At 40.1% G+C, this 23066-nt stretch overlaps 1 protein-coding gene and 1 pseudogene across 3 annotated transcripts, besides 7 other annotated features; both read left to right on the forward strand.

The window, feature by feature from the left end:
• LOC100420803 (lysine demethylase 4D pseudogene) lies at positions 698 to 1411 on the forward strand (annotated as a pseudogene).
• Positions 10168 to 10925: an enhancer, noted in NCBI's record as "NANOG-H3K27ac-H3K4me1 hESC enhancer chr11:94799907-94800664 (GRCh37/hg19 assembly coordinates)". NCBI's record gives its function as "activates a minimal SCP1, AML or CMV promoter by ChIP-STARR-seq in primed H9 embryonic stem cells {active_cell/tissue: H9 hESC(primed)}" and the evidence as "EXISTENCE:reporter gene assay evidence [ECO:0000049][PMID:30033119]".
• On the forward strand, positions 10302 to 14650 carry SRSF8 (serine and arginine rich splicing factor 8). 3 transcript variants are annotated; one of them, NR_103726.1, is given in 2 exon segments: positions 10302 to 11608; positions 12080 to 14649. NR_103726.1 is itself a non-coding variant. In NM_032102.4 (1 exon), exon 1 carries the CDS (start codon positions 10652 to 10654, stop codon positions 11498 to 11500), a length of 849 nt encoding a protein of 282 aa, NP_115285.1. In that variant the 5' UTR covers positions 10344 to 10651; the 3' UTR covers positions 11501 to 14650.
• Positions 10320 to 10399: a silencer, noted in NCBI's record as "silent region_3844". NCBI's record gives its function as "represses an Ori minimal core promoter by ATAC-STARR-seq in GM12878 lymphoblastoid cells {active_cell/tissue: GM12878}" and the evidence as "EXISTENCE:reporter gene assay evidence [ECO:0000049][PMID:35858748]".
• Positions 10650 to 10839: an enhancer, noted in NCBI's record as "active region_5408". NCBI's record gives its function as "activates an Ori minimal core promoter by ATAC-STARR-seq in GM12878 lymphoblastoid cells {active_cell/tissue: GM12878}" and the evidence as "EXISTENCE:reporter gene assay evidence [ECO:0000049][PMID:35858748]".
• Positions 11420 to 11529: an enhancer, noted in NCBI's record as "active region_5409". NCBI's record gives its function as "activates an Ori minimal core promoter by ATAC-STARR-seq in GM12878 lymphoblastoid cells {active_cell/tissue: GM12878}" and the evidence as "EXISTENCE:reporter gene assay evidence [ECO:0000049][PMID:35858748]".
• Positions 11837 to 12016: an enhancer, noted in NCBI's record as "active region_5410". NCBI's record gives its function as "activates an Ori minimal core promoter by ATAC-STARR-seq in GM12878 lymphoblastoid cells {active_cell/tissue: GM12878}" and the evidence as "EXISTENCE:reporter gene assay evidence [ECO:0000049][PMID:35858748]".
• Positions 12027 to 12086: an enhancer, noted in NCBI's record as "active region_5411". NCBI's record gives its function as "activates an Ori minimal core promoter by ATAC-STARR-seq in GM12878 lymphoblastoid cells {active_cell/tissue: GM12878}" and the evidence as "EXISTENCE:reporter gene assay evidence [ECO:0000049][PMID:35858748]".
• Positions 13259 to 13318: a silencer, noted in NCBI's record as "silent region_3845". NCBI's record gives its function as "represses an Ori minimal core promoter by ATAC-STARR-seq in GM12878 lymphoblastoid cells {active_cell/tissue: GM12878}" and the evidence as "EXISTENCE:reporter gene assay evidence [ECO:0000049][PMID:35858748]".
• Positions 14651 to 23066: the final 8416 nt, after the last annotated feature.

Consider the following 23066-nt stretch of genomic DNA (forward strand, 5'->3'; position numbering starts at 1 on the left):
AAAGAGGGCGGAAGATCTGACTCTTCAAAAATGCCAAGGATTAGACAATTTCACAGAGGAATTGTGTGAAAATTTTATTTCAAGTATAAATAGGCCTTTAAAATGAGAAAAAATTCAAGCTTTAAAATAAGCACATCATTGACAGAAAATCCTGATGAATTGCAGAATGAGAGAAAATGATGGACAAAACTTATTGATGAACATCGTAAAAATTTTAACTTAAATATTAGCTAAGAGAATCTAAATAAATTAAAAGAATGACATACAATGACTACATGGGGTTTATTGCAGGAAGGCAGTGATGGGTTAAAGAAGGAAATCTAGGAATATAATTTATCCTGTAAATACAACCAGAAGAAAAGTCATATGATCATGTTTATAGATGTTGATAGGCATTTGATATAATTCAACAGTCTTGTTTTACACACACCCACAAGGAAGCAATGAATCCTTCCTTAAAATAAAATTCAAAAATTCTCTATCTACTAGTTAGCTATTTTAGACCCAAGCCAGCATTTTCCTTAATGTGAGGTATTTGAGGCATTTCAGTCAATAATTTATGGAATTAGTGCTGTTAACCACTGCAAAAATTTTTAGAGCTATAATTAATGGAAGGGAAGAGACAAAATTTATTTTGTTGTAGTTGTAGTTGATAAGGCTGAATGCAGGGAAAACTCAAGGAGGGGGCTAAATATCTAAATGGCTTCCCTATGGCCACCATGCTGACTTCAGCCATGGCTTCAATTTCAAGGAGGCCATGAATTTTGCCACCATGTGATAAGCAAAGTGGCCTCAGTGCAGTGGTGAGGAAGCCATTGTGATCTCTTCCCTGGATGCTGTCATGGGCATCCTGTAACCCAAGTGCAATGAGCTGTGGAAACCCAGGCAAGAGGGATTAGTTGCAGACCCCATGGAATCCAGGGCACAAGCCAGCCTGGAGATGCCCACCTCGTAGAAGATCCAAGTGCCTGAGAGGGCTCTCTGGACTGAGGCACCACCTGTGTCACCAGGGCCATGACCCACTCAGCCTATGACCTCCAGCTGTGGTGCCTGTTGCCTCACATTTCTGTGCCCAGTGTTCCTGTGGCCAATTTAGCCTGCAGTGATGCTTCCTAGCCCAGGACCTTAGCTTGGACCCACTGCCCACCCTGGCTTTGTCAACCTTGGTCTGAACCTTTCAACTGGTAGATGTGGTTGTGGTCCTTATCCTTTGTAACTGGGGGTTCAGAAGCCAATCCTCCAGGCTCCATCTGGCCAGGAGGTGCCTTTTGGTGGTCACAGACTGCACACCTCCAGGCCCTGAACCTAAGCCTCTGCCCACAGATGCAGCTTTGATGGATAGGCCTGTACCACTGAGCCCAGGATCCAGCATCCTGCCAAGGATTCTGGGTGCTGCTGGAGCCCCGCCCCTGTGCCCATGGTCAGCTTTTATATCCCACTGCTCTGCTCTGTGGGGGCTTCTTGAGATTGGTCACATTTACAACTCAGAATTTTCGCGAATTTTCGCAAATTTTCCGGCCACTAAAATTGCAGTGCCTCCCAGTGCTTAGCTCCTGTGGTGAGGTCCCAGGCACTGCTGAGTCCAAGGTGGTTACCAAATTCACTATACTTTCTTCATCCTCTCAGACACTGTAATATCTTGAGACTTCTACTTCTGCGTCACCAGCTGAGATTTCATCCACTGGACATGAGTATCTCTGAGAACGAGGTCTTCCTGGGTTTGCCGAGAGCTCATCTACCCCAGTGTCCCAAACTCTGGACCAACTATAGAGGCTGCTGAACTTCTGAAGAATTTGGAGTGTGGTTCCCCTTCAATCTTCTTCCCTTATCTCTCCCTCCCTCCCTCCCTCAACTCTCCCCTTCTTGCAAAACTAGCCTTTTATGGCCAATTAGGTCAATAGAGTCAGAAAAAAAAGCATCATATTTCTAAGTCATTGAGATATTTACAATGTGATATCGCCAGTATTTGTTCACAAATATATTAAAGGTCACCAACATGTAAAATCTGACTTTCTTTCTAATATTGTAATTTCAAAAACATTGCAGGAAGAGGTTATTCTCCATGCATTTTTCTTCACAGTTATTTGAGAACATTTCAGGCAACACTTATGAATATTTTATGGGCTGGTTACATTTTGTGGTGGTGAGTGAGCTCAGCGTATGGTTATGAGGTTCTGGCTGTCTGGTTGTGTGGGAGCACTGGGTTGCAGTTATGCTTTGAGGATAGCTTGGTAGGACCAGCCTGGCACTCAGCCAAATAGCAGGACCCAAGTTGCTGAGAAAGATGAGCAGCCCTAGGATAAAAGTGTCATCATCTGACTCTCTTCTCTCCCAGGCTCCAAGCTGTGTGCATATTTCACACTGGTAATTCATTGACTCAGCCTAATAAATAAACCCCCAAATAAGTGAATAAGACAGTTTCAGTCAGGAATGTGTTTTGTGTAGGAACTAAAGCAGGATTGGACGACAGGGCAGAATGGGCAGAGGCTGGCCAAGCCGCTGGTCCAGGAAGGCTTCAGAGAACAGGAGATCTTCTGGGGCCCCAGCTGAGAAAAATAAGAAGGTCCATACTGGGATTTTCCACCTGCAGGGAACTGTAAGTGCAATAGGCCTAATATAGAACTTGGTGAGTTTGTTTTTCCAGCGATACGATAGAGGCTTATTTATATCTGGGGCACACAGAAGAAGAAGACGCGGAGATCAGACCACTTAGGCCCTGTGACTCATGTTAATTGCATTATTGGGTAGTCTATCAACTTGAATTGAGAAGGCACTGGAAGTGTAAAACGGCAGTGAAGATGTGATTTATACATTTAAACAATCAGTTTAGTTGCTCTGTGGAGAATGTGCCAGAAGGAGAAACAGACCATCTAAAAGTGAGAGTGACAGTTGCTTAGACTCAGTTGTTCATATTGCAAATGCACAGAAGTGGACAAATTCAAAACTTATTTTCGAAATTGAAGGTGATAGTTTTGGATGTAGAAGGAAACATTCAGAGAAGCAAGCCACCCCTCCCCTTAGTACTACTCTTGCTTAACTGCCCTTACAGAATGTTATTAAGGCTCCAAAGTTGAAGCACCAGGCAATTTGAGGGCTAAAGTAAAAAACAATTGGTGCTTGCCTGAACTTCTCAATAAAGAACAGAAAAACACAAATTTTCTTGCCTATCTCACTCATTCAGACAACTTTGTCATTTCTAATGTAATAAGAGATGGAAGTTTATTCTTTATAAAATTCAAGCTGGGAGGCTGAACGCAGAGTCTCCAGGCACACAGGAAGATGGAGTGAGTTGCCTGGCTGAAAAGGGGCTAAAGCTAATACTGAGATGGTGGAACCACAAGATGAAAGCATACTGGACTCACTGGAAGGGAGAAGCCCTAGAGAACTGCTGGACCTACAGTACACCTTGTGTGACCAAGGAATCAATTTTTATGTGATAGGAAAAAGCCTCATTGGCCCTGGAATGCAGGAGGCAGACAGCCTTCAGCTGCAGAGAGCTGCCTTACCCAAGGCCATGTCTCTTCCGAGTGTAGCCCACATCCAATGACTGCTCAGTGCTGGAGCATAAAGCTTGGCCATCTCTGCTGAACTCAGGACAATCCTGAGGCCATTTGAGCTCCAGAGTCCCTGCAGGATCGGCTGACTATCTTTGGGCATAAACCACAGATCAACTTTTCTCTGTGCTCAAACCTGCTTCCTATACCTCCCTTAGTCAGATATTGATCCCAAAGGCACTCTAAAGATCTTGGTGCTGAAGTCTTAGAGTCTGCTCTGTAGTGGACCTGACCTGCAATTGTACTTTAGGTTTCTTTGTGTTTCAAAGGCATAATTTCCTTGAGAGAATAAAGATTGGTCCCCCTGCTGAGAAATTATAATCCTTCTTTGCATGGTTATTTAGGGATGTGAGGAGATAGAAATGGCCATGAGATAGAATCTCAGCTTCCAATGTATGGAACTATTGTTGTGACCCCCATTGAAAACATGCCACTTTGAACACCAGAAGTCACAAGGACAAGAAGCAAACATCTGATCTTTGGCCTGATGGATCAGTCCCAGTTTTACACCTGGATTTACTAGAACCATGCGCTCTGGCTCTGAAAGAAACAGTTCCATTTCCAGAGCAACTGACTCTCACATGCATTGCTACTGTGAATGTACCATCATACAGCCCCTTTGAAAAACCGTTTGTCAATGTTCTATAAGCTTAAGCACTCATCAATCCATAGCAGTTCTCCTCCTAAATACCTACACATTTTATAAGAATCATGAACTGTGGATAATTCATATATCTCTGAATATATAAATAGAAAAACTCATAGCTTATTAAAATTTGTAGCTTATTGAATATTATTCAGCAACAAAAAGGAATGTATTGCTGGTACATGCAACAGGAATAGCTGGATCTTACAAACATCAGATTTGGAAAAGAAGCCAGATCCAAAGTGAAAACCTATTGTATATTTTCATTCATACTCATTGCAAATATAGACCAAAGTAAGCTGTGGTCATCGAGTTTAGAACGTGATTGCCTCTGGTGGGAAGCAGGGATTGACTGGAAAGCTCCTGGCATGAGAGAATGTGATGGGGCCATGGGAATGTTCTACATCTCCTTTTGGGTGATGATTACATGGGTGTATATGAATGTTAAAAGTCACTGATGTGGAGACCTATGGTGTATGCATTTTTATTGCATGTATTTTAAACTGGAGAAAACTGAACAGGAGACAAGACAGGAGCAGCTGGAAAAGTGGGAACCATCTTAAGAAACACTGGAAAGCTGAATGCTAGGCTGGCAGGGAGAAAACCTGGAGGGCAATGGAATCCCCAATGCAGAACCAAAAGGAATCAAGATTTTGTGACACCAGGTACCTCTAGAGTTGGATGTAAAAGTGAGGCTAAACACAGAGATTTTGATAAAAATCTGTTGGAGAAGTTTCTTTAGTTCCTTGGGTCAGCTCCATCAAGTTAGCATCTGGATGACTACTTCCACCAACGACTTCCACTCATCTTTCAGTGGAAAATGAGACTTTCTTGCTCCTATATTCCAGGTGAGAATTGGAGGTTGCTAAACTTAGGTGATGAAGTCGGATTGTGGACATAAAAGTGCAGGAAAGAAAGGGATTCTGACAATTTCTGGAGATGGTAGCTTGGCTCACGTTCCAACTTGGAATGTGAGAACTGAATTTCTGCTTGTTATCTTCAGCAGCATCACAATCTTATCCTAGCCAGATAGATGCCCTGGAATGGCTATCATTAAAAAAAATCTTGGATAGTAAAAGAAAAGAAACATAAACACACAAATAATTTGTAGAAAATATTACTCCTATTGTCCTCCTGTTTCTATTCAGCTACTTTCATAAATATTTTACATTCTCTTGCCAAATAAGAGCAAGCAATAGTACAGCTAAACTTGTTTCTAAATTAGTCTTCTGGAAAGTTCAGGGAGTTAGGGGTGGCTGTGGAGGGCTTCTTCAAGCAATTGTAATTAGAATTCTATGTTACTTCATCTGACAATCTCAATTTGGGTCACTCTTCTTTGTAAAATTTGCCCATATCTAGCTGTTTGCCCATGTCCAATCATAAGCTTTTGCTATTCTGTACTGTTTTGTTTTGGAAAATCAAGGAACATTGATAATGAAAATTATCTAAGAGCAAGTGTAGAGCCATCTTTGTCCTCTCCCATGACCTCTGTTCCTTCATTTCTGAAGGCTTCTCTTCATTTCTGAGAAATAACAATTATGAGTTTGATGCATATTCTTCCTGTTTATAGTCGGAAGTCTACAGAGCCAAGATGATATGTCAGGTTTGGTTTTAACAACTTCTCTTCCTCCTGCTACCTATTTAAAAACTCAATATTACAAGGCCTGAACAGATTGCTACGTATATAGATCCTAGTGACTCCAACAGAGTCAATAGACCTGTGTAATTTTTTATTTTATTCATTCCCCTGCTGATGGACATGTAGATTATTTCCACATCTTTGTTATGTCAAACAACACTTTCTTGAACAGCTGTGTGCATAGAACTGGAGTTCCTTGGTTATACTGATATTTGTTTTCAATTATTCTAAGAATAGCTAGGTCAGTCTACAATTTCTATCTCCATTAGCAGTGGGACAGTTCTGGTTTCCCCATATCTTGGCCCATTTTTACACTGTCAGATCGTTTCACTTTTTCTAATTTAAATTGAGAAAAAGTGTCTCAATGCATTTTCTCAATTACTAGTGATCTTATACATCTCCTCATATTTATTGGCCATTTGGATTTCCTTTTTTTTTGAGTTGCCTTTTCTAAGGCTTCGATCCCTTCTTTTGGGTTGACTCATTGTTTTTATTGATCTGTGGAAGTTTTCAGGATACTTATTCATTGTCTATTTTACATATGACAAAACTGTTCTTCCAGCCTGTATCTTGTCTCAATTTTTTATGTCATCATATACTGGAATGAGTTAAATATGTCAGAAATTTTCATTGTGGTTTGTGCTTTTGGCTCTTCTTTAAGATAATTTTCCCACCTTGAATTCATAAACACATTTTTCAGTATATTCTCAAATAGCCCTAAAGTTCTCTTTTATACAGTCTTTAATCCATCACTAATTTACTCTTCTAAGTAGTGCACGGTAGAGCTCTATTTTATTTTTCCCCCCAAGATCAATATCTCTTATTGAATTGTTGATTGCTTTTCATGGGATTGGTAAGCCACCTTTATTATATACAGACTCCCACATATACAGTTGAGCCTTGAACAAATGAAGTGCATGGGTCCACTTATACAGGGATTTTTTTTTTCCACAACCGTATTGGTAAATTTTTTGGAGATTTAGAACAATTTGAAAAAACTCCCAGATGTATCTTGTACTCTAGAAATATTGAAAAATATAAGAAAAAATTAGGTGTGTCATGAATGCATAAAATATGTATAGATATTAGTGTATTTTAACATTTGCTACCATAAAATATGTACAATCCTGTTACAAAAAGTTAAAATTTATCAGAATTTACACACACACACAGACCATACATAATGCCATTTGAAGTTGAGATAAATGTAAACAAATGTAAAGATATAGTATTAAATCATAACTGCATAAAATTAACTATAGTAATACTGTATTATTATAAGAATTTTGTAGCCTCTTCCTTTTGCCATTGCAGTGAGCTCGTGTGGTGAGTATCCTCTTAAAATGCTGCAGGATGCTAATCATCTCTGCCTGAGCAATTTTTTTCTCTCTGGTAAATTGTCTATCACAGTAAAAAGTGATCTCTTGAGTATCATGTTTAGGGCAATATCCTAAAGCTTGAATAATACTATGGGGCCCAGACGAAGTGCCACTAGTGATGCTGGAAATGTTCCCAAGAAGCAGAGAAAAGTCACGACAGTATAAGAAAATGTTGAATTGCTTGATGTGTAGGGTACATTGAGGTCTGCAGTGAGGTTGCCAGCCATTTCAGACAGGCTATTCATCTTGTAAATGGTTAAGGTATCCATAAATATAGTACAGTATAGTAAATACATTTTCTCCTCCTTATGATTTTCTTAAAAACATTTTCTTTTCTCTAGTTTTCTTTACTGTAAGAATCCAGTATTTAGTACATGTCACATACAAAATCTGTGTTAATCAACCGTTGATATCTGTAAGACTTCCAGTCAACAGCAGGCTCTTAGTAGTTCAGTTTTGGGAGGAGTCAAAAGTATTTGAGGAGTTTCAACTGCACAGGGATTCAGCACCCTGAATCCCCTCATTGTTCCAGGGTCAACTGTACATGTATCTGTGTCTGGTCTCAGTATCTGTGCTTAGAGGTACTGTTGATATCAGCTCAAATATTACAGTTTGATAAGGGAGAAGTCTTTTTTTTGTTTTAAGGCATCATTTTGGGGGTTGTCATTTAAATATTTGACTCTAACAGTGCTAGCTCTACCGCCTTGAACAAGTGACTTAATGTCTCAATGACTCAGTTCTGTCATCTGAAAATTAGAGGTATGAATCTTCTTATAGGTCATAAGAATTAAATGATTTATTGTACCAAGAGTAAACCGAACAGTGTTTGCCATGTTATAGTCACCAGGTATGTTAGCTATTTTAAATAATATTTTACTATTAGAAATAAAGAGGGACTTCTGTTCATCAAAAGATATGAAAAAAAGAGAGAAATGACAAACCAAGGAGTGTGAACTGATATTGTATTACTCATATCCAGCAAAGAGCTGATATCCATTATATATAAAGAGCTAGTGCAGAGAACGCCAACCCAATAGAAAAATGGACAAAATACATAATAGGCAGCTTATGAGTAAGAATACCCAAATGGCCAATGAACGTGAAAAAATTACTCACTCTCATTTGCAGTTAGGGAAATGAATTTTTTTTTTTTAAGTTTTAAGTGACAAAATCTCACTGTGTCACCCCAGGCTGTTGTGTGGGGACGAAATCACAGGTAAAACAAATCTTAATGCCCTCACCTAACTGGCTAAAACTAAAAAGTCTGATATTCACCAAAGGTTTGCAAAAGTGAAGAGCACTGAGCACCCTCATACACAGCTATCCTGTGTGTAAATTGATAAAAACTGTTGAAAAACAATCAGGCATGGTAAAGTTTGAATTCACATACAGTTGTCCCTTGATATTCTGCAGGTGGATGGGGTTTGGTCCTTAGTAACCCCTGAGGATTCTGAGGATTTTCAAGTCCATATATAAAATGGCTTGGTATGAGCATGTAACCTATACGTATTTTCCAACATACTTTAAGTCATCTCTAGATTACTTACATTATGATGAAAATGCTATGTAAATAATTGTTTACTGTATTATGTTCTATTTATTTTTATTGTTTTTTTTTTCTGAATAATTTCTACCCACAGTTGGCTGAATTCACTGATGCTGAAGCCAGAGGTTACAGTGGGCTGCCTGTATTCTGTGACAAGGGATCCATTCATACCTAAGAGGACACATGAGCTCCAGTATACATGTCCAAGCATGTTCTGAGCAACACTGTAAGAGGCCAAAAGTGGAAACAACCCAAGTGCCCATCAACAGCACAAACATTTATACCATTGAATGCCTTACGGCAAGGTAACAGGATCAAGTACAGCTACATGGAACACATAGATGAGGGAAATAAAACACAAAATACATTAAAATATAAAAAGCACAATTCTATGTATATAAGGTTACATAACATTTTCAAAATCAGCAACGTTTTAATTAATTTAATTAATTTAGAATTCTCCTGCAGAGGAGTTTTCTCTCTTTTCTCCAATGTGTTAATTTATTTAATCATTTATTTACAACAGCACAGATTAATATTTATTTTATATTTTGGAATATGATATAGTAGTATTTTAGTTTGTTCCTTAAATTGTTCAAGATTTGGCCATTGGGAGCTGTTTTATTGGTTTTTGTACCCCTCTAAAATTACCCCATCAATGCTTTTGTTTGTTTTCTATTTATCACATCCTTATTTTCCAGCACTCCAAGATGCTCTAGGCCCTTTCTGTATATTTCCTTTCCAGATTTAGAAACTGTATTTCTTCATCAGTATTGCTAGATTGTTTTTTTCTTTAAAAGTGTTAGATTTCAGTTTTATTAATCATCTTTTTAAAAAAACATATTGTCCCTTTTATTTGTAATTCTATTTTTATTTTAATGTTTTATTTTTTGTTTTGGTTTTGTTTTACTAATTGCTTGACTTCAACATAAAAAAAGTTTTAGAAATGTGGTTATTAATTTTCAAGTAAATATGATTGGATTCAGGTTTTTTATTTTTAACCTTCAATATTATTTCACTGAGGTCCAGATGTGCTGAATTTATTGACCTATTAAATTTTAATTGACATTTATTTTGTAGTCTTGTATTGGGAAATTCTTCTGTTTTCTATATATTTTTGGTTGTTGCAGGTTATATGATCAAAATTGTTGTTTGTTGTGCAAATTATTATAGCATTACTAGTTTTGTTCTCTGCACTATTGATTTCTGAGAAAACGGTGTTACGGGGAAAAAACAAACTTCCATCATGAGTGCAGATTTTTCAGTTTTACCTTATAACTCTCAGTCTTGGCTATGTGTCACTGTTATGTGTTTAGGTGCGTTAAGTTCATCACTGTAATGTTTTCCTAGTGAATTTTCTTTTCAATAACTATGAAATGTGCTCCTTTGATCCTATCAATACACTGGATATTAATATTGTTGCCCTAGGTTTCTTTTGTTTAATATTTGTCTGGATTGCCTGTTCCCATAAATTGACCTTTAATCAGTTAGCTTTGTTCTTAAGATTGGTTTAAAACGTAGAATAATAGGGAGGAGCATGGGAGGGTGGGACGTCTAATGTAAATCCAGCCCAGTGATTACATTAGCTGGGCGCTGATTAGGTTAGGATGTTGCCCAGGTACAAGGCCAGGATCTTCGGGGCCTGGCTTCATTTGGAGTTCAGCTACCAAAAGGAAACCTTCCTCTGGGTCCTGGAGTATTTGGCCTGAAATTGGGAACTCGGAAGTTGCTGCTCCAGGGCGCTCCCTGCGGAGCTCCGCCGCCCGCCTCTCCGCCCGGCCTTTCCCGGCGTCCCCACGCGGGGCGCAACCGCGAGAAAGAAACGCAGGTCGCACCGTCAGCGCCCAGAGCAGCGCCAGTTTCCGGGCCCGGGCTGCTCTCGGAGCCATGAGCTGCGGCCGCCCCCCTCCCGACGTGGACGGCATGATCACCCTCAAGGTGGACAACCTGACCTACCGCACCTCTCCCGACAGCTTGAGGCGCGTGTTCGAGAAGTACGGGCGCGTGGGCGACGTGTACATCCCGCGGGAGCCCCACACCAAGGCGCCCCGGGGCTTCGCTTTCGTCCGCTTTCACGACCGGCGCGACGCCCAAGACGCCGAGGCCGCCATGGACGGGGCGGAGCTGGACGGACGCGAGCTGCGGGTGCAGGTGGCGCGCTATGGCCGCCGGGACCTGCCCCGCAGCCGCCAGGGAGAGCCACGCGGCAGGTCCAGAGGCGGCGGCTACGGACGGCGGAGCCGCAGCTACGGGCGGCGGAGCCGCAGCCCCAGGCGGCGACACCGCAGCCGATCCCGGGGTCCCAGCTGCTCCAGGTCCCGCAGCCGATCTCGCTATAGGGGTTCTCGCTATAGCCGGTCTCCCTACAGCCGATCTCCTTACAGCCGGTCGCGCTACAGCCGCTCTCCCTACAGCAGATCTCGCTACAGGGAATCTCGCTACGGCGGATCTCACTACAGCTCATCTGGTTACAGTAACTCTCGCTACAGCCGATATCACAGCAGCCGGTCTCACTCGAAGTCTGGGTCCTCCACTAGCTCTCGCTCTGCATCAACCTCCAAATCGAGCTCTGCGCGACGATCCAAGTCCTCCTCGGTCTCCAGGTCTCGCTCGCGGTCCAGGTCTTCATCTATGACCAGGAGTCCTCCCCGGGTATCCAAGAGGAAATCCAAGTCAAGGTCGCGATCCAAGAGGCCCCCCAAGTCTCCTGAAGAGGAAGGACAGATGTCCTCTTAAGAAAATGATGCATCAGGAAGCAACGTGATGGAGGACTTGGGGGAAAAGGATCACATACTCAGTCTATGGAAGCAACGTCCCTGGAAGAAGAGGCTGCCTATTGAAAAGGTTGTGTCACACTTTTCTACCTTTTTGCCAGTTTGAAGCTTTGCATCAGGTGGCAAAATTCATTCTATGTGCCGTTTTGTTGTTATTCACATTTTATTGTAACTTAGGAGGTGAACGACCTAAGATTACGTTATTGGGTTTGGATATTTGAGGCAAAAATTTATTTTTATTTCTATAGTGATGACTGTTTTGGTTTGAAATGAACAGATTGGTAACCTAATTTGTGGCCTCCTGACTTTTAAGGAAACGTGTGCAGCCATTACACACAGCCTAACGCTGTCAAGACATGCTTCAACATTGCCTTCATTCCTTAAAAACCTACAAAAGGTGGTGTAAATTAATATGGATAATTTTATTTACCTCCAGGTCTAAAAGGTAGTGTGACCCAAATTTGTATAAAGATTTTTCATGTGAAAGGACTGGGGTTTTAGCAAACACAGGTCTAATCTCTTTTGTGTTTTTGTGCACCAGGCCCGGCTGCGTAGCAGTTGAGTGATGCTGGTTAGCTATTAAGGTGGCCTGTTGCAGTGCAGAGTGCTGAGCTGCTTCCTGTTTTCTTCTGATTGCTCCTGGGGAAAACACGCCTTGTCCTGAAGAACAAATGGCTGTCCAGTTTATTAAAATGCCTGTCAACTGCACTTCCAGTCACCCAGGCCTTGCAGATAAATAATGGAGCATGCAGTGAGCACATCTAGCTGACGATAATCACACCTTTTCCCCCGTCTTTTCTGAAAAATTGTAAATCTGATCATATCAACATGTATGAACTTAAAATATGGAGAATGTTATGGAAGAAATAGTTTATAAGTTTGTTAAGTACTTATAACATGGTTTATCTTTTTGATTATTAATTTTTTACGCTAACCATTGTTTCTGTAGTTAAAATTGTTTTCTTGGTGTTATCTTTTCTCAGAATAAAATTAGAAACTTTTGATGGAAAGTAGGTTGTTTTATTTTCTGTATGACTTTTGGATATTTGTACTTTTGAGAAAATTATTAGCACCAAGTGTTTCTCAAAATATAATTTTTAAAAAATCCTTAATAGGCTTTTAGCTATGTGCTTTATTGTTTTATCACAATGCAGTTTATTTGTAGTTTCTCTCTTTTTTCCTCACACCTATGGTTTTTTTACTTCCAAAATTATTTTCAAATAATCCATTTTTGGCTTTCATCATTATCCCTACTAGATGTTATGTGTTCTTTTGCAATTGTTTCTGCTTATACCTTTACTAGCAAAGGGAAAAATAACAATTTGGTGTCAATGATCTGGTGACAATAGGATTACATTGGAGCCAATTGAATAAATTTATTCTTTCAATCATATGGATCTTCATTAATATTTTTGACTGAATTATCAATTAAAAATATTTCATTCCCTTTGTGCAGAAACTGCTAAATCCAGGGTTCGATTCTTGAATGAACTGGCAAGGTGGCTGTGGTCTGTAGATATACATCCCACATTTTGTTGTTATAACAGTTAGTAGTTAGTATTGCTTTCATATATAGACTCCAGAATCTAAATTTTACGATAATGACATTTCTTCTGGTCATGACAAATGTAATATTTTACAAATATAAATCTACGTAGAATCCAAAGACACACACAGAGCAGTCCTGTCTGAGAAATAAAAAATCAGGACACCCATGGCATCGTAGTAGCCCCTCGCGTCCAGCAGGTGGCGAAGGGAGGTGAGGTATATTTATTAAATGGGACCGAGTGGGACGGGGACGGGGCAGCCCTAAGGGTAGGGAAGCATTGTCAATTTCTGGGGATAGAATGAGACCCAGGCATAGCTGGAGTTTGAAGCTTTGAAGCAAAAATATCTGTAGAACATCTTAAACGTGACCAAAATATGATGTTAAAATCAGCAACTCTTTATACGTTAAAAACTTTGAAACCTGTGGCCGGGCATGGTGGCTCGCGCCTGTAATCCCAGCACTTTGGGAGGCCAAGGCAGGTGGATCACCTGAGGTCAGGAGCTCAAGACCAGCCTGACCAACATGGTGAAACCCCGTCTCTACTAAAAATACAAAAATTAGCTGGGCATGGTGGCGCATGCCTATAATCCCAGCTACTCGGAGGCTGAGGCAGGATAATCGCTTGAAACCGGGAGACAGAGGTTGTGGTGAGCCGAGATCACGCCATTGCACTCCAGCCGGGGCAACAAGAGCAAAACTTCATCTCAAAAAAAAAAAAAAAAGAAAAAGGAAAAAAACAAACAAACAACAACTTTGAAACCTAGGAACAATTTTGGACCTGTTGGAGCAGAAATGTGTAGTTGTCATTGAAGGTGTGAACATACCCTACCTCTACTCTACATGTGGAAGACCTGACCCACAGAGGACATGAACCCATGAAGAAGAGTGATGTGACATGTTTTGCATTTTATTAGTACCATGATCTAACCAACTGAGCTAACTGGCCACACCATTTTATCCTTTATAATGATCACTATGAGGGCTGAGTGCAGAATGGAGTGTATGTGGTCAAGAGTGGAAGCTGTGAGGCTATTGCAGTAATCCAGAAAGAAAGGTGACAATGGCTTAGACTTCAGTGGTAGTGTTGGAAATGGACATAAATAGACATATTCAGGAAATATATTGATCTTAGATCTAATAAGACACGTAATAGATTAGAAGTAGGGAAATTAATGAAAAAGCAGAATTAAGGATGACTTCTCACTGGCTTGAAATGCTAAATGGATGACGGTGCTGTTTAGTGAGTTGGGGAAGACTGGGCGTGGTGATGGGTGTAGAAATTGAGAAAGGAAAATCAAGAATTTCCAGAACTTTCAGAGCAATGTTAAATACTTTCCTTGATAGTGGGTCAGTCATCATTTATAAGTGCATTTCTAAAAATATTGCTTAATTTTGTTTTTGAGCTTTGTATAAGTGGAATTTTGTGTGTACTGATTATTTTGCTCAATACTATGTCTTTAAGATTCTCTGTATTGTTGCATGTGGCTGAGTTTATTTTTGATGCTGTGTAGTGTTTTACTAATTAATAAATCATAATTCAGTTTTTACTGTTCTATTGATGGACATCTGGGTTGTTTCCTATTTTAGTTATTCTGAATAAGGAAGCAATGAATATTTTTATACATAAAACCTGATGTACACGTGTATATATATTTCAGGTATCAATCCCAAAAGTGCATTTTCTGGGTTATAGATCAAGTACATATTCAATTTTGTTAGATAATTTTCAACTATTTTCCAAAGTAGTTCTACCAATATATACTATTATCATCAATTGATGAGAATTCTACTTGCTCCACATCCTCATTAACACTTGTTAACGTCAGACCTTTTAATATTTGCAAATCTGATGGGTATATAGTGGTATTTCATTTGGTTTTAATTTTCTTTACCCTGATTACCAAAAGGTTGTAGCTTTTTATTTGTTTGTTTTTTAGCCACTTGGATATCCTCCTTTGTGAAGTGCCTTTTCAATAATTTGTCCACCTTCCTATTGGGTCACCTGTCTTTTCTTAACAATTTAAAGGTATTTTCTATGTATCTGGATCTTATTTGTCTTTATGCCCTATAAATATATTTTCCCATTCTGTGGCTTGTTTTTTAATTCACTTTATGATGTCTTTTGATGAGTTATTTTTACACTAATGTAGCTAAATTCTTCAAACATTTTGTGGTTAGTGTTTTATATGTCTTGTTTTCTAATTTGAAGCAGTAAAGATAGTTTCATATATTATTTCCTATACTCAGTATAGTATTGTCTTTCAGCATTTAGTACTTTAACACAACTGAAATTGATTTTTGTGCATGTGGTGAGGTAAAAATCTAACATAATTTTTTTCCTACTTGGATATCAATTTTTAAAGCACTATTTATTGAAAACTCCTTTCCTATCCAATCTGCCACCTCTACCATATATTAGTATCCATACTGGGTAAGTTTACTTCTGGATTCACTATTTATTTCTATTGAGATATATACATATACATATACATACTGTGTATGTGTATATATACATGTATACACATACATATACATATATAAAGATGTAGATATATATAGAAGATATAAAAGATATATAGTCTGTAATATATAACATATATATAATTTTATGTAAATAGAATATATATAAAGTCTAAAATATATTTTATTTATATTTCATATATATTATGTATACTTATATATAATATATAAATATATAATGTAATTATGTATTATATATATAGAGAGAGAGACAGGCAGAGACAGAGACAGAGAGAGACAGAATCTTGCTCTGTTGCCCAGGCTGGAGTGCAGTGGTGTGATCTTGGCTAACTGCAGCCTCGACTTTTTGGGCCCAAGTCATCATCTCACTTCAGCCTCCCAAGTAGCTGGGACTACAGGCACACACCACCACATCCAGCTAACTTTTGTATTTTTTATGGAGATGAGGTTTTGCCATGTTGCCTAGACTGGTCTTGAACTCCTGAGCTCAAGTGATCTGTCCGCCTTGGCCCCTATTAGTATGTTTTTTCCATGCCTGCACCTAATACTGTCTTAATTACTTCAGCTTTATAATAAACCTTGATATCTAATAAAGCAAGTTCTCTCATCTTGTCTTCATCAAGAGTGGCTTAGCTATTCTTGGTGTTCCTCTTCCAGGAGAAGTGGATAACAAGATGAGATACTGAAAGTTCTACCCCTTGAACGGTTTTTCCCTTCTCCAGAATTGCTCAGGGACATACTGTGTAGGTTATAATGCCACCATGACCCATGCTAATGGTTGTAGCCACTTATGCACAGCCATTTGTAACTGAGCTTGATAATTTTACTTCCTCAATCAATTGCTTACCAGAGAATTCCCTACAAGGCTATATGTGAAGACTGGAAGAGGATAGCAGAGTGGCAAGAGCAGGCATACTGGGGACTATAAGTCACCTGCTTATGTGATTTACTTGTGTCTTCAGAACATGTCCCATCTTGGTCATTTCAGTCTTATTTCTGCTTGAGGGCAGAGAGCTGGCAGGTGTGACTCACTTTGTGTCTTGTTAGGTCAGTCATCACCCAGCTCATGATGGGAGGCTCAGGTCATATGCTCACCTATGGTCAAGTTTTTTTTATCTCTGCCAGGGCCCAAGAGCAAGTGAAGAGCTTCCAATGGAGAACTGTCATTTACTCAAGAGGAGAGTTATCTACTAAATACAGCATGGATTTGCTTCAGAAACCCAGAACAGTGGTTCTCAAACAGAAATGTACATTTGAATCCTGTGGGGATCATGTTAAAATGCAGATTTCAATTCAGTGAGTTTGGTCTGGGGCCTGAGATTCTGCATGTTTAATAAAATCCCAGGTATTGTCAGGGCTGCTGGTCATGGACCATTCTTTAAGTAGCAAGGATGTAGAAAACTCCATTGTGATTCTCCTGTGGGAACTTGATATGAAACATCAGTGTTTCTCAAAGTGTCCTTCCCCTCCTTGCAACAGCAGAATCAGTATCACCTGGAAACGTGTTAGAAAATTCCAGAATTGGTGAGGCCAATTCTAGGGCCTCACTTCCCAGACCTACCAAATTAGAAACTCTAAGATAGGACTCAGCAATCTGGTTTAACAAGCTCCCCAGGTGATTCTAATATGCACTAAAGTTTGAAAACCACTGTTCTCCATAGGTTGCTGGTTCTCAACCAATTAAATCAGTATCTCTGGAAGTGGGACATAGGTATCAACACTATTTTTAAGTTCCCAAGCTGGGCGTGGTAGCGCATGCCTGTACTCCTAGCTACTCAGGAGGCTGAGGTGAGAGGATCCCTGGAGTCCAGGAGTTTAAGGCTGCAGTGAGCTATGAGTTTTGTGGGAAAATATTCTAAACCGTAACAAGGACCTATAATTACCATCTGAGACGGGAGTGGAAAATTAGTCTAATGACATTCAGACAAGAGCTTTGTAAGGTACTAAAATTGTTTGGTGTCTGTGTAAGCGTGTGAGTATATGTGTGTATTGACTTCTTCCCTGCAGCAGTAAGGAGTGAAGCCTTTGTTCTCCCTTTGGAGTAGCAAGGAAGTAGGCAGGTAGGGAGATTTTAACTCCCTCTTCCACCAGGATGGAAATTAAAGAATACGGTGGGTGAACATAGAAAGAGGTGAAGAAGATGGGCCGAGTCCCAGCCGCATACTACAGAGAAGAAAGGAGACTTGAGGAAGCCTGCTTGGGTTTAGAGGGGCCTGGGGAACTTAGTTACAACAAAGGCTCTGTGCTATTCCTCACTGGGTGCTGGAAAGGACATTCAGAGAGGGATTTCTCTTTTCACCGTATAACTAGAACTATGGATTAAGGTTCTGGATGTCGGGGAAAATGTCCACTGTTAGGGTACTGTGTGGGAGAAGCTCCGCCCACCTCGTATTAGGCCTCCTGATGTAAGATGGGCCACAGGTTAGTGGGTTAGGTAATGTCTCTGGGGACTGGAGCCTTGCCATTGGCCAAAGAAGACAATCAGTCCCTTAGGTGGTATTCAAAGGGTGGAGAAAACTCTGTTGTAACAACATCTGAGATAAAAAGTTAAAAAGGTTTCAGTAACTGTAGTGAAGGGCCCTATGAAAGCAGTTCATACTGCTGAACTAGATTCTCAGAGTGGCTGCCACAAAACAGAAGTGTTGAGATGAAGCTAAAGGCCAGTCCTGAAAGCATGCAGCTTTCTACTCCGAGTTCTCCCACTACTTTCCCCTCTGTTCCCCTGCATTTCTGCATCTTCCTGCCACTTGAGTCCTCCCACCAGTACATGAAGGGTCAAGAGGCCTGTGCCAAAGTGGTGACTGTGATGAACCAAGATAGATTTCCCTGGGCCCAAGCCACTCCTTATATTGGCACCCAGCTGTGCAGCAAGCTTCCCTGGCATGGCTCCAGAGCTGCCGAGGGTTTCCTTCCTCGCTATCAAAGAGAGGGTGACTCCCAGGAACGTGTGCCTCTGTTTGTCCATTACAAATGACCTTGCATCCTTGTTACGAGAAATTCCAGGAAGGCAATTACTCTGGATAGTAATAATGATTCTCTGTTAATTATTCCTTCCATCACCTCCTCCCTCACAGCCTCTTATTTTTCTTTTAATGGTGAAATAAATAAATGATGATGTGGTTTTGTGTTTTCCCTCTTGTCACAAACTCAGCCCATCCATTGGCATGCTGTGTATCATGTATACAAAGTTGATTCTGAAGCGTGATGTGTTTAGTAAAGCAAACCTTTCCCTTACTCACCACTTTTACCTTTCCAGCAGTTAGTTACAGAGGAAAACCGGATGTAGAGCCAGCTGAACAGCAATTGAATCTGGCCTTGCCACTTTGTGGTCATGTGACTTTCAGAAAAAAATCGTTGATTTTCTCTGAGCCAAAATTACAGTGCAGGATTTTTGTGAAGATATTGTGTGATGTAAATGTGACAGGCAAGTAGGAGGTGCTTGATAGATTTGAGCAAGAATTCTGTGCATTTATGCATTCTCCCTACCTCTAGGATAAGTCCGAGGGCAAGGACCTACTCTCATATCCTTTATTTCTGTGATGCTCAGTTATACCACTGTCCTCACCACCACTCCCACAGCCCTACCCATTACTTTTTTAATTAATGAGTTTTATTTTTTTAGAATAGTTTATGGCAAAACTGAGCAGAAGTTAGAGTTCTTCTATAGACCCTGTCCCCACATATGCATAGCCTCCCTCAGCAACATCCTCCACCAGAGTGGTGCATTTGTTACAGCTGATGAACCAATTGATGAACACACCATTATCACCCAAAGCTCATAGTTTATATTAGGATTCAGCCTTGGTGTTGCACGTTCTTTGAGTCTGGACAAATGACTTATAATGATAAGTATCCACTCTTATAGTATTATTCAGAGTAGTTTCACTGCCCTAAAACATCCTCTGTGTTCCACCCATTCATCCCTCCTTAACCTCTGGCAACCACTACTGTTTTTACTGCCTCTATAGTTTTGCCTTTTCTACAATGTCATATAGTTGGAATCACAGAGTATGTAGCCTTTCAGATTGGCTTTTTTCACTTAGTAATATACATTTAAATTTCCTCCATGTCTTGTGGCTTGAAAGCTCCTTTCTTTTTATTGCCAAATAATATTCCATTGTCTGAATGTATCGCAGTTCATTTATTCATTCATGTATTGAAGGACATCTTGGTTGCTTCCAAGTTTTGCAATTATGAATAAAAATGATGTAAACATTTATGTGCAGGCTTTTGTGTGGAGGAAAATATTCAGCTCATTTGGGTAAATACCAAAGAGCTTGCTTGTGGGATTACATGGTAAGAGTATGTTTAGTTTTATAAGAAACTGCCAAACTGTCTTCTATTACTTTCACTAGTAGGAAACTTCTTTTTTTCTCATGATCTACCCACGTATTTGTACAAAAGTTCACATATACTTATTTGCAAATTCCTCTCCTTGTTGTACTTGGCCTTGTTGCAATGCTGCCAGGGCAAGGTCAAGATTTCAAAAACAATCAGGAGCCAGAAGAGCCAACCTTTCTTCAGAACTCCTTCACTAGCTTATTGAGCAATCTTTCAGTAAATCATCTCTTTCCTCTGGCTCTCCACTTCCTTATTTGGGCAAAGGGAGCTCTTAGCTATTTGCACCTGTGCTAGAGTTGGCACACAACAAGTTCAGACCAAAGCAAACACAATTTGTGCTCAATAAATGTTGGCTATTATTACTTATAAGCCCACATTTGTAAGATGTGCATTAGAAACTACACTTGAATGCACACTTGTAGAGGTTGGTGTTTGGGTCTTGACTCTAAGATTTATTTTAAAATTTTAACTATAGGTTTTGACTGACTACCGGGCCACACTAAATTATTCATAAAGATTAACCATTACACTAACTATTTTGTGTATGTGTGAGAAGTCCTTTCCAGATATTTAGAAATAACTTCACCCTGATATGTATTTCACTGAGCTGTGACCATATAGAAATTAGAAGTTGGGGTTTTGTTCAGTGTTTTAGTTACCTATCATTGCTTTAAGTAGAAAACCACAAACAGTTGCTAGGAATTGGCTGCAGAGATAAGTGGGAAGGAAACCCATATAAGTTGAATAGAACCAGGGTAATGAACAGCCCCTCACTCCAGCTGCCTTGCAGATCCCACTCTGCTCACCAGCCTCTCAAGATGAAATTTCTAACATTCTCTAGTTGCTCCTCATTGCCACTGATCTGTAGCAACTGTCAGGGTAACACCTGGGGACCCTTCTCACTAATCCGCAGCAAGTGCTGGATGTTATGGAGATAAGCAGTTTCGGGTAGACAAAGGAGGGGAAAACCTGAGTGCTGTAGGGAAAGGGTGTCATTGTTAGAGGTGCCACCTTACAAAAATGTAATATTTGTACTACTGGTATCCTGGCATTCAGTTTCCTTGTGTCCTAATAGTTCAGGGCCCTCCACCCAAAAAAGTACCACACTCAGGCCTGTGGATCTCTGAGAGCATCTTTTCCTGTTCTCATCACAATCTTTTATTTATTTATTTAATTTTGAAATGGAGTCTTGCTCTGTCACACAGGCTGGAGTGCAATGGCACAATCTCTGCTCACTGCAACCTCTGCCTCCTGGGTTCAAGAGATTCTCCTGCCTCAGCCTCCTGAGTAGCTGGGATTACAGGCACGTGCCACCACACCTGGCTAATTTTTGTATTTTTAGTAGAGGGGGGTTTCACCATGTTGGTTAGGCTGGTCTGGAGCTCCTGACCTCGTGATCTGCCCCCCTTGGTATCCCAAAGTGCTGGGAGTACAGGTGTGAGCCACTGTGCCCAGCCAAAATCTTTTATTTTTTTGGCCCATCCCTCAGAGCCTCTTCTTAAAAGATTCACATTGCATCTGTCTATGTATTTCAGGACCCATTTATTCATTTACTCATTCAATAAATGTTTACTGAGAACCTACTGTTCCAGGCTCTGTTCTTGGAATTGGGGACACAACAGTGAAAAAGACAAGTTTCAACTCTCTTGGATGATCTATTCTCATTATCAAGAGTGATATATAATAACATGTCAAGTAATTGTAAGGGCTATGAGGAAAAATAAAGCAGAGTGAGGGGTTAGAGAGTAACAGAGGCTGCTTTATCTGATAGGATAGCTACAGAAACCTCCGGGGGATGTGGTCCTTGAACCTGTGACCGCGGGAATGGGGCTTCATTGTGGGCAGAGGGGCAAGTGCAAATGCCCTGAGATAGCAACATGTGCTCACAGATTAGCAAAGGGGCTGGCATGTAAGAGTGAGGGAGTAGGAGCCAAGGCAGGGATCTGAATGTGGGGATGAAGCAAGCATAAATGTCTTAACTCACTTAATGCATACTCCTCCAGAAACCCCTGAGCAGTTGGAGTGGTTGATGTTTCAGGTAAGCAGGGGGTGGAGGAACTTGGGGACCACAGAGCCCTTGAAAGCACTCATAATTCACAACCAACCCTGTGAATGGCTCTCTTTCCTACCAGATGCAAATCTTATGAGAGAAGGAATTATACTTTTTGGTTCCCTGCTGTGTCAGCTAACATGACATGTATCTGACTCCTACCAGGCACTTCATACTACTGTCTAATTGGATTGGACTCTAGCAGTCACAGCAGATCCCTGGCATTCACTAAGTTAACAACAGTCATTTCAGCTGCTTATGAGCAATCTCAAATCAGAGCCTGCGTAGGAATTTCCTGGAAAAACAGCTACTAGGTGGGAGATCAGGTATGAGAGTCAAACAGGCAATAGATTTGGAGTATTAAGGCTATGCACTGGAAAACCCTGGCTCCAGATAAGGATAATATTTAGAAAAGTGCTAGGATTAGGAATTTGCAAAGATCTCAGGATCCATTCCTTGTGAATATCAAGTGTCTACTCAATAAGTTTTTCCCACCTGAGAAACTCCTTAGGAACCAAGTGGCCTAACCTTGCCTCTCATGATGATATTACCTTAACTGTACTTACACTTGGCCATCTAAAATTGTAAGTACTTTATCTATAGTTTCACATTGTTGATTAGATCAGATTAATACAATTGGTTGTTGTCTTTCTTTTTTTTTCTGTGCAGTGAGAAGTCAATGAATGTTGTTGATTAAATGATAAATGACCTAAAACCTCAATAAAAGTGAAAAAAAGGGCTAGCATAATAAGAAACAGCTAAAATAAATAGTTCTCTCTTATAGCATTATTACTTTCACATTATTTTTAAAAATAATGTAACTAGTACTAAGCAGGGGTTGAAATAACTTGAAGAGCCAGAGAATAAATCCTTTCTCATATTTCAATAAAAGATTTTCATTCATTCATCCATCCATTCGTTCATTAATTCTTTCAACAAATATTGTTAATCAAGCACTCTCTCCATGCTAGGCACTGTACTAGATGCTAAGGATAGAACATAAGACGGAGATTATAGTCAGCTTGGATGGAGACACAGACAAGGAGTTAGGCACTCTCACCATGCTACAGCTTCTTCTAAGAAACCATAGCAATATCCAGGCTCTCC

This window comes from Homo sapiens, chromosome 11, assembly GCF_000001405.40.
Source record: "Homo sapiens chromosome 11, GRCh38.p14 Primary Assembly".
Lineage (NCBI taxonomy): Eukaryota > Metazoa > Chordata > Mammalia > Primates > Hominidae > Homo > Homo sapiens.